Raw genomic sequence first — 11,653 nt, forward strand, 5'->3', positions numbered from 1 at the left:
AGCTGCTCACCTCCTAATCTCTCTGCCATGTGAGGAGCTAAGCTGGTTACCAGGTTCCAGACCCAGAGTCCCAATGCCAGATTAGTCCCCCAGCCTCCAGCTTTCACCCTGGGCCAGCTCCGTCTCTCCTGATTCTCCAAAGGGAGGGTACTCAGGCCTAAATTCCTAAACAAGCACGTGGAGCGTTCGGCACTAGGTAAAAAGTGGGTAGACCTTCCCTCTTCCCTCACAGTGCAAACTGAGCAAAGTCCTATGATTTCAGGCCACTGGCCAGAAAGAAATTCCTAGGAGGAAGGGACACGACAGCCCATTTTCATCCCTCTGGAAACATTCAAGTTAACCTCCAACCCAGGGACAATCCCCAGTTGCCACAGACCTGGGAACCAGACTCCATGGGCCCAGGGCATCTCTCGTGTTCTCCCCCAGTTCCCACACCTCCCCTCTGTATTGAATGCTTTCTCTCTCTAAAATCATTGTGAGACTCAAGCTGGATGCGTTCGGCAGCTCTTACTCACCTGCAAAAGGATAGGTGTTGCTTTAAAGGACCTCAAATCCTGTAGCCCATGAACTTATCACTCCTCTCATCATTTTCCCTGGTGACCTACCTCTGTATTCCACATTCCTCCAGTCCCGGCTGCAGTCTCACTACAAAATCAGACCTGGGAGCCCCAATCCTACAAGCTTTACCCATAAGCAAGGAGATATTCCTAACCCACTGGTCACCCAGAACCCTCCAGTAGTTGGGAAATCCCTCTAGCTAGGGCTTCCCACAGAGATACAAAATTCCCTGACTGTGGGTTAGTGGTTGCAAAATTTCTGTCACTGCTGTGGGGATAGCAGAGTTACCCCAGGGGGCTGAAAGAGAGGGGAATGAGAAGCCAATGATGACACAGTAAAGAGCTGGAGGTCATGCTCCCCCTACAACATGCACACATTTGTGCTGCGAAATTTTTAAAAAGAGAGCCTATACTAGAAGGGGCTGGGTAATGGATGGCTTAGGGAGCCTCACCGTGCCAGCAAAGTAGGAAAAAGACACAAGACCAAGGCTGGGGAACCTTAAGACCACAGAACAGTTTGGTTATCAACGTCATCATCAGCAGAGCTACTATTTATTACTTAAGACCACAGAACAGTTTGGTTATCAACGTCATCATCAGCAGAGCTACTATTTATTACTTAAGACCACAGAACAGTTTGGTTATCAACGTCATCATCAGCAGAGCTACTATTTATTACTTAAGACCACAGAACAGTTTGGTTATCAACATCATCATCAGCAGAGCTACTATTTATTACTTAAGACCACAGAACAGTTTGGTTATCAACGTCATCATCAGCAGAGCTACTACTTATTACTTAAGACCACAGAACAGTTTGGTTATCAACGTCATCATCAACAGAGCTACTACTTATTACTTAAGACCACAGAACAGTTTGGTTATCAACGTCATCATCAGCAGAGCTACTATTTATTACTTAAGACCACAGAACAGTTTGGTTATCAACGTCATCATCAGCAGAGCTACTATTTATTAAGTGCTTTACACACATTGTCTCTAATCCTTACAATGACCTTGAAAGGCAGGCATTATTATCTCAATTTGCAGGAGCGGCAATTGATGCTCTGAGAGCTTAAGTAACTTGTCCAAGATCACACAGAGTGTTAAGTAGCAGAGCCAGAATCCAAACTCTCATCCACCTGGTTCCAGCTTGTGCTCATATTTCTACGATGCCACGTTATAATAGAAAGAGCCCTGGGATAGTCACGTAACCTTTCTAGGTCTTAGTCTCTTACAGAGTGTCCTTAATGACCTCTAAGCGTCCTCCTACCTCCAGAATTCTATACATCTATGGGACTCCCCAGAGGGGCCGTAAGTGCAGGAGATGGAAGTATCCTCCTTCCAGGAGTGGGTGGGGTGGCACAAGGGCTCTCATCTCACCTCCCCCATTTTTGTAGCAGAGATAGGGAAACCTCCAGACGTTGCCTAAGCCAATGATCTCCCCAGCCACTGACAGCACAAACTCCATCTTGTTGTTCCAGTGCCCCCGCTCCAGGGTGCCATCTTCCTCCTTCTTTTCCATGACTGGATACACTGGTTTTGTCTCTCCATTACTGGTTGTGCCTGAGACCCTGCTATCCATCCCACCTGGAAAACAAGTGGGATGCTCTGTTACTGTTGGGAACCCCAGAAGGAAACCCCTCCTCCTGCTTTTACCAACAAATCCATAAGGGAATGAATGCACTGGAAGAGGTGAATTTCTATTCCCTTCCCTGTAGACCATGTCCTCCTTAGCAGTTCTCATTGGTAGAAGCTGGGTGACAGCTACTGAAAACATATATTCCTTTCCTGTTTCAGGAAGAAAGTGTTGGTACTGACAGACAGCCTTTGCTTCCACTATAAGGCCCTCTTGGGTTGAGGATTGCAGACATGGAGGAGTTCATGGGCCGCTGTGCTGTCTAAATTCTCCCTGCCACCCTACAGTCAGCCTCGTCGGGATTAGCATGTGCTTCAGTCTGTTTACTCTGTATGCTGGGACACGTTGAAAGGATGGGATTTTACATGTCCTCAAAGCCACCAATTTCCCTTGCAGGAATTTATGCTAAGGAAATAATTGTGATTGTGAGTGAAAGGTGTAGCATTAGGATATTTATTGTTCATAACAGCGAAAAATCGGAAAGTACATAAATTGTCAAAAATGGTAGATATGTTGATAAATTATGGCACATTCATATAATGGACTACTATATATAATCATTAAAACCTGTGTTATAGAAACAAGTATATCGGCACAAAAGGGTGCTCACAATATATAGTAAAAAACAGTACATACAATATGATCATGCTTGACAAATATTTTATAAAGTATTTATAGGCATTGAAGGAGTAGGATAGCCATGAAAATGTTTTTCTTTCAGCAGTTGGGTTATAGGAACATTTCCTTATCTATATTTTCTACAATTACATCAAAAATGTGTTTTACTTTTGTAATATAAAAATAAAAGCCGGTTTTAAAAAAAAATCCTGTCAAAGGATTGGGAGAGGTTGAGTGGGACCAGGAATTGTGAGTAAGATGAGGTGGTCTAAGTACTCCTTCTATGTCTCTCTGAAATCAGCGTAAGGCAGAGATTTACTATGCGCTCTTTTTCTTTTTTGGTGATGACAAATTAGGAGTCTGTGACAGTAGAGAAGATGATATAAATAAAAAGCCACAGTTTTAACCATTCACTGTCAGAAATGGCCCATTCCAGACCACTGTTGGGATTGAGGATGACTGGACGTGGCCCACATTTAGTTAGCAACTACTATAGACTAGGCACTTCACATACATTCTTTTCATTTAATTCTCACAACAACCCTGAGATGTAAGCATTATTACCTCCACTTTATAAATAAGGAAGTTGCAGCTCAGAGAGGTTAAATAATGTGACTGCTGCTGCCATATAGCTACTAACTTGCACAGCCAGGACTTAAACCCACTCTGCCCCTGCTCTTTCAGTTCCATCCCTTTGATTACATTGGCTGCCTAGGTTCACTGGTGTGTCTACTAAAAGCATCTTCTAATGACTCTGCCTTGATTTTGCAGAGTGGCCTCTTTTCTGGAGAAGGAGGCAGATGGACTTTTTTCTAAGCCTCAAGCAAAGTTCATGTTAACAGAACTTTCTCAGCAGTAACCTCTTCTGGCCACAGACTCTACTTTGGCTCTGACCCAGAAAATTAGAAAGTCAGTGAACAGGCCGGGTGCAATGGCTCACGCCTGTAATCCCAGCACTTGGGAGGCCGAGGCGGGTGGATCTCCTGAGGTCAGGAGTTTGAGACCAGCCTGGCCAACATGGTGACACCCCGTCTCTACGAAAAGTACAAAAATTAGCTGGGCATGGTGGCAGGCACCTGTAATCCCAGCTACTCAGGAGGCTGAGGCAGGAGAATCGCTTGAAACCAGGAGGCAGAGGTTGCAGTGAGCCGAGATCGCGCCACTGCACTCCAGTCTGGGCAACAAAGCGAGACTCTGTCTCAAAAAAAAGAAAAAAAAAAAAAGTCAGGGAACAGCAGGCATCTATGTTTATCTGATAAATTAGGGAATGAGCTCCTTTCTACAAAGGAGAAACTCAAGTAACTGGTCCCAAGAGGGCTCCTCAGTCCTTTTGGGAAGGTTGTCTAAGGTACTGACTGTGCTGGCCTCCCCTCCCTTTACCAGCTGATGGATCTCTCCCAGTGATGGAAAGCCTTCCCTTCTCCACCCTCCCAGACCCTAGGAGAAACAGTAGCCTTCTCCTGGCTCCCTTAGCCTCATTAGAGCTGCTTCTCAGAGGTAGCATGTTGTGTCTGAAAGGTCATGAGCTGTAGAGTCAGATGAGGCCAGGTTCAAACATTAGTTTTTTCTCATACCAATGTCTGACTTCAGAGAAGTTAATGAATGACTCTGAGCCTTAGTTTGTTCATCTGTAAAAGTGGGGATGATAGATAGGATATACTTAGCTATAAGAATTAAATGAGGAAATATACATATGTATACACACTTAATAGAATAACAGGTACTCAAATTTTTGTTTTCTTTCAGTCCTGTCAGAGTTGATCATTGTTCTCTTTTCTCAGAGAAGAAAGACTTTGTTTTCTTGGAGTTAAATCCAGTTGTCTTTCCTCTCAATCTAGGGCTCTCTCTTTCCAAATCACAGTGTCACTTAAGTCAACAGCCACCCAAGTTTCAGAAAGTCAAGAAAATAGCACATAATCTTTGCATTTGCACACATACATGTCAGAAGCGTACTTTCTAGGCGAGGGTAAGAAAAAAGTCCTTTGGTTGTAAGTCCCATGGATCCCACCAACCTGCAGTCTGAGACGCAGAAATAGAAAAAAAAGAGAAGAAAACATTTCGAACCTTAGTGAAGCTGCTGCCAGAGGTCCAGTCAGGGGAGAAGAATTATCTAAGGGGGAAGGAGAAGGTGCTGGCTATTTAAAGTGTGGTTCCAGAACGCCTCTGTGGCACTTGAAATTCTAAACTTGGCCCAGCCCACATTCCACCCTTGTGCCTCCCCCTCCCCTTTTCTCCCCTCCCCTCCCCTCGGCCACTGGACAACCCACACATGAGTGATTTCGCAGTCTGGGGAGTGTGCACGCCCTGGCAGGTCGGGCCAGTTGCTGGTGAGCTTATGAAGTGTGGTCTCCTCCCCGGAGCTCATGTGCGCTTCCCACCTGGTGAGCTCAGGGTCTCTCTGGAGGGATCCTGCCTCCCACCCCTGTCTCCAACACAAGTGCTCCTATAAATCCATCAAGAATAGGTATTCCTTTGGTCAGGTGCTGTGTAGATTAATTTAAAAATACATTTATCTTACCGTTTCGCAGCTTGCAATGTGGAATGGACGATGATTTAGAACAAAGATACATAGATACAGAACTCTGAGATGTCAGAAAAACTTCCCAAACATACACAGACATTTATACACATATAGAAAAAGTCTGAAAAAATCTTCGCTAAATGATTAATAGTAGTTACATTTGTAGAGTGGAACTGAGATCAGGAGATGGCAGTAAGGGAGATTTTTTCCCCACTTTTTCAATATTGTTTAGATTTTTTAATATGCTAGAATTTTAAAATATTTTTTAAATCAATAGAGAAAAGGAAGTGCCAACGTTTAAAATAAAGCAAAGCCCTAAAGCTGTTATAAGGGAAGGAGCAGGCGGTGAGCGCGAGGCCGAGGTCATCCAGGGAGCTTCGTTTCTCTGCAGGAACAGCCCACAGAGGCGGCTGTGAGAGTAGTTCATTCAGCCTGGAGTCTAGGACAGGGCAGAGTCCCACCTCAGCCATGTGCTGAAGCACAGTACATGTAGTGGAAACCTGCTCAGACTTTGACACCAGAGAGTGTGGGGTCTGAGTCCTACGTATGCCACTGTCTAGCTTGAGATTTCAGGAGATGATGACTAACTGTAAATGGCAGCTGTTATTCATCCTTAAGGGATTATTCACAGTGAGCAGTGAGCCCGGAAGTCTTCTTGAAGGAGACGGGACTGAGAGACCCCTGAGCTAAGCTGGGCTCTGGCCAGACTGTGAGAATGAGTTAGGTAGGGGATGCGGCAATGAGTGAGTGAGGTGATAGAGACATCTTGAGATGACGGAGAAGTGTGGAAAGAAAGACGGATCGAAGAGTCTAAGGTAGTTTCCGTTTCCTTGATCCCTCATCTAACTCAAGGGCATGGGGTAGGGGCATGGAAACACTGCATGGTAATACCTGGAGAGCTTCCCAGAAGCTTCTTGGAAATTATTATTCTTATGTTTCAGCGGCCCCTGTTCCTCTCCCCTTTCAAGCTTTCATCTGTTAGACTGAGCTCTGTAAAGCAATAAACCAAAAGCGTCCTGAGACAGCCTACAAACTCATGTAAAAAAAAGACCATCTTCAAAGCAGTGCTATTGACTTCCATTTTTACGTATCACTGAGTGGTACTTACTAATGGCCTACTATGCATTATAAACTTTGGCATTTGTAATCTAAAATTACCAGATAACGGGTGTTTTCTCAGATACCATTCAGCCTTTGGCAATGTTGCACAGCCCCTTCTGTGTCCTCACATATGCAAACGGTTGCAATTTCCAGCTTCCAGGAAAGACTGTCAGTGATAAGGACATCATCAGGCTTATCCTGAGTTGGTTGTGAGCTGCTGCTGTTGTATGAAGGAATGTTGGCTTTACTTACCAACTCTTTTGTTTTTACATAACTGCTGCCATGTTACCATGTTGACTCCTATTTTATTCCTCTCCAAATCTTTGTTATCCCCAATTTCTTTTTCCTCTATAAAGTGGGAATGGCTATGGTAGGTTTTTTGTCCTGCTTAGGTTGACAAAAGTTAAAGAAAAAAAAAAAAAGCTTGAGAACCACTGGTAGATAAATGTTGGCGACAGTCCCTCACAACTTCCCGTCTGGGGTTCCACACAAAACAGGCATGACTAGCCTTGCATCTACCTCACGTTGCCATCATCCTTTGGTCTGCTGGGTGCAAAGTCAAGAAACCTGAAAACAGGTAACAACAGAATCCGTATTCAACAGTTCTTACTCAAGAGGCTGCATAAGTTTTAAGACTCACTAGAGATTGTCAGTGAGGATAATTGAAGGCTGTGCTTCCAACAACAGGATTGTATAAAACAAAGTGAACCACGCAAAAAGCAGGCCTAGGAGTCCTGGTTTGTACCAAGTTGATCCCAGGTATGTTTAAATGACAGTACGCCATGATACGCTCTCCCAAAAATTGTTTGACTCTACTAGGAGTGGAATAAGAACAAATAAAATTTTTTTCTAGTTTGACATTTCACAGAAACAAATTTTAAAAGCAGCACGATTTGTTTCAAGAAAGAACATTTCTGAGCAACATCAAGGTGGCAAAGGAAGTGGTGGGTTCTCCTCTGGAGACCTTTAAATTAAGAGATATAGTTCTGTTTAACCACAGGAGTCAGAAACCTGTTGACTTTTTGGATCCCTTTTCAAACATCACACTGAAAGAAAAGAAAAGAGCAAGTAGAACAGACTAAACAACAAATTATGGCTTTTGCTATAACTGAAATAATTTGAACAACAAAATGAATAATGATAGTATTGGATTGTAGCCCAAAGAACAAAGTTCACTAATAAGTTCATGCTGATACAAATAACCAACAAGTTAATAAGTGGGATAAAAGGACTAGTCTTCCTTACAGTTGAATTCCAATTAATACATATAGAAGGATGCCGAGCATGGTGGCATGCACCTGTAATCTCAGTTACTCAGGGAGGCTGAGGTGGGAGGATTACTTAAGCTCAGGAGTTTGAGGCAACACAGCAAGACCCCATCTCAAAGAAAAAGAAGTCTTAATAAATGTAGAAGGAAAGAGAAAAACAGAAAATCACCATTAGACAAACACCACTATAATAATTGTTGCAGACAAGATCTACCAATGAATGCTAAAACTAGTGGGTGAAAGTTCCAGGAGGAACAGAATTTTTACAATTCCAAAGTGTCTCCCCCAAGATATTTATTAACTACAAAGGGAAAAATAGTGATTTTGAAGTAGAGAAGCCAGGCAGAAACCACCTTAACCAAATGACCAAGGTCAACATCACCAGTAATAAGATAGTAATAAGACATCAATATCTCTCTATATCATGAACCATGGATATGATGTACTAAGAGTGACACAACATTTCTGTGGTATTCTTGCCAAACATGCGGTTCAATCACAAGAAACATAAGACGAACCCAAAGTGAGGGGCATTTGACAAAATTACCGATCACTACTCTTCAAAAGTGTCATGAAAGACAAGACAGACAAGACAACAAAGACTGAGCAAGTGTTTTAGGCTGCAGGAGACTAAGGGAAAATCACAACTAAATGCAATGTGGGGTCCTGAATGGGATCCTAGATAGGATCCTGGAATAGAAAAGGACATGAATGTAAAAACTGGTGAAAGTTGCATAAGGTCTTTAGTTTAATAGTTCTCTACCAATGTTAATTTCCTCGTTCTAACAATTGTACTATGGTTGTGAAAGATGCTAACGTTAGGGGAAGCTGAGTGAAAGATGGAAACTCTCTGTACTATTTTTGCAATTTTTCTGTAAGTCTAAAATTAGCTTAAAATAAAGTTTTTTTGGTTTTTTTTTTTTTGTTGTTGTTGTTGAAGATTTTTGTTTACACTCTATTACAGCCCAAGTACTTGACCCTGCTGTGAAAAGCTCTGGGATGTTACGTGCGGAAACCAGAGGTGTCACTGAAAACTGTGAAGCGTTTTCTGTTTGATCCCAGATGGGATAATTCACCTAAATTCTATCAACTCCAATTTGTTTTCTTGTTTCTTTGTTTGTTTGTTTGTTTGTTTTGAGATGAGGGTCTCATTCTATTGCCCAAGCTGGAGTGCAGTGGCACAATCATAGGTCACTGCAGCCTCAACCTCCCAGGTTCAAAGGATCCGCCCAACTCAGTCTCCCCAGTAGCTGGGACTACAGGTTTGCACCATCATGCCCAGCTAATTATTTTTTAATCTTTTATAGAGATAGGGTTTTGCTATATTGCCCAGGCTGGTCTTAAACTCCTAGCCTCAAGCAATCCTGCCTCAGACTCCCAAAGCACTGGGATTATAGGCGTAAGCCACCATGCCAGACCCAAGATCTGAAAGAAACAAGACTTATGACAAAGAATATTAATGACGTCAACCATTACCATTAGTAACGTTTGTCGTGCATTTCAAATGTGCCAGACGTGGTGCTAAGTGCTACACAGGCACCATCGCATTTATCCTCAGAACAAACCTACGACACAAGAATTACTGACATGACCATTTAAAGACAGGAAAACAAAGGCTTAGAGATAATTAAATTACTTGCTAGGCCACATAACTAGTAAATGGTAGACCCAGGTTTTGAACTCAGGTTTGTAGAATTCTAAAGTCCATTATTTACTTATAGCTACCATGCTATCTATACTTTAAGTCTAGAGGGGGAGGAAAAAAGACAAGAAAAACACTAAAAAGCACAGCTCTAGTACTGTTTATTTTGGCTATTGCTGGCCCGTGGGATTAAACATAACTTTCTTAGGAAAGAGGTGAATAACGAAAATGACAAGAAAAATGTTGCTTTCACTGAAAATCTCATCAGACCTGAATAATACTTTAAAAATCTAATCAGAAGGCTCTCTTCCTATCCCAATGTGTTCCACAATTCTCTCCTACTACTCTGCCCTATTAAGGAAAATCATACCTTTTGTCTTTAACTCTAGAAAAGTAATTGCAGTTATTTCCCAATTTTATCCTGTTTCTTCCAATCCCTGTTTCCCTGATTTCTTGTCTGACTCTCAGAGTACATACAGTTTGCAACACTTATGTAACTAGTCTCAGTGGGAAGCTCTTGGCTGATGAACAGTTAGTGAGCAGGGGTTCTGAGTGAATGGAGACACCCTGACACTATGGAGCTGCGGTGAGGGATTAGGGCAGAGTGACATTTAAAAAGAGCAACTTCAATCGATGGACAGTCTTTTATCCTAAACATTTTTAACCACCACTGCAGGACGTTATTTGTGATGAGAAAAATATATTGATGCACTGATCACACAGCTGACTGATGAGGAATGCAAAGTGTGGCCGGAATCTCATCTCTCATGTCTCAGCCCAGAGAGAGAGGGGACCCAGAAGGGAAACATGATTGTTTTCCCATGACTGGGAAACATGGCAGCTCTCATCTGTCCTGTTTCCCCAAACAAGAAAAAACAGACACAGCCTGCTCAAACTGTGCCGTCAATGCCCGTGAGCCAAAGACCGCGAGGAACACACAAGTTGGGTTCATTACTCGTGGCAACAAGGGAGAGTGCACACAATGTAAACTGTGAGGTGTCTCAGTCAGAGGGCGTCGCTGAGGACTTGTTATCGGATGAATTTCTGTTAGGTGATTTTCAGGAGGCTTCAGGAAGCAGGGCTTTGCTTTGGATTGGATGCTGTGAGGAAGGAGGAGTAATTTTATAATTAGGTTTCCTAATGGATTTTGTCTAGAAAGCAGGAGAACGAAGTGAAGTGAAAAGCTGTGATTGGCAAGGAAGGAGCAGTCACTTGTGTTAGCCGGCAAAAGATGTTCGATCGCTTGTGTGGTTTGGACAATGTTTACGTTGTTGTCTTTATTCAGACATCATCACAGGGTGATCTTATTTGTGTCTGGATCCACCATGATCACAGAGTGGCCTTGCCTGACATTGACATGTGAGAACAAACACCAGGGCAGCTCCTAGCAATACAAAGCCTAACTGATAGTGTCTGTCCAATTTCCAGCTGTCAGGGGCTTCTTTTCTCTTTCTCAGCCATAACAGCCACATAAACTCGGAGGAGTGAACTGACGTCACAGAAAGTGGTGACTGTAGCGGGAGGAAGGCCCCTCTACCTGTTCTCAAGGCCTTGGCCACGGGTTTTCACCCCCTCTTCCCTATATTCTCCTCCTTCACACTAAGCCCAATCCCAACTTTACCCGCTCTTGTTATATCTTATCCGTATTCCCTCCATTAAAAAAATATTTTTTTTCCTAGCATAGTTTGACATCATTGTGCAATTTTCCTCCCAGTTATTCCATAAGATTAAAATTTTAAATTTTCTGAATCAGAAATCAATGTTGGCTACCCCGGGAAACATTAAAGAAATTACCGATGTTTAACGCCCACTCCTAAAGAGAAGATTCTGATTTAATTGTTCTGAGGTGAAACTTGAACATTGGGATTTTTTAAAAAGCTCTCTGGATGTCTCTAATAGGCAGCTAAATTTGAAAAGCTCTGTAGCCTAATTGCTGCTGTTAGCTAATTTCTTAGTCCATCCTCAGGGAAGATGTACTACAGCTGGTCTGGTCTTATATCTGAAACTCCTTTTCAAAGACACTCTCAGCCTTCTCTTCTCCAAGATAAATAATCTGAAACCCTTTTATCTTTCCTAAGAGTTCTTCCTTCTCATCCCCACCCACTGTTTTCATTGCTCTCCTTTGGAAGCTCTCCAGGTTCTGAACATCCCTGTCAAGTACTGGTGTCCAAAGCTCCCTCACGGCCCCTTTCCGCTGCCTGCCTGCTGGCTGCAAGTGCTGCTTGCTTCCACAGCTCTGTAGTGTCAACTGAACCCTTGGTTTCCACCAATGGAGAAATTCAGCAACAGAGAGAGATCTACCTACAC

The 11,653-nt window shown here is 42.9% G+C and overlaps 1 protein-coding gene across 3 annotated transcripts in view; it reads right to left on the reverse strand.

Moving 5' to 3' along the window:
* Window positions 1–4,926, reverse strand: part of SLC6A13 (solute carrier family 6 member 13) — a 42,215-nt gene extending 37,289 nt beyond the window's left edge. For 2 of the 3 annotated variants that reach the window (NM_001190997.3, NM_016615.5), the window contains exons 1-2: window positions 4,879–4,926; window positions 1,941–2,147 (exon numbers count right to left, since the gene is read on the reverse strand). In NM_001190997.3, the coding sequence (NP_001177926.1) occupies window positions 1,941–2,142 (202 nt within the window). In that variant the 5' untranslated portion in view covers window positions 2,143–2,147; window positions 4,879–4,926. Of the gene's footprint in view, window positions 1–1,078; window positions 2,148–4,878 lie in introns of those variants that run through there. The other variant, NM_001243392.2, reaches the window with a different exon arrangement.
* Window positions 4,927–11,653: the final 6,727 nt, after the last annotated feature.

Source organism: Homo sapiens, chromosome 12, assembly GCF_000001405.40.
Source record: "Homo sapiens chromosome 12, GRCh38.p14 Primary Assembly".
Taxonomy (NCBI): Eukaryota; Metazoa; Chordata; class Mammalia; order Primates; family Hominidae; genus Homo; species Homo sapiens.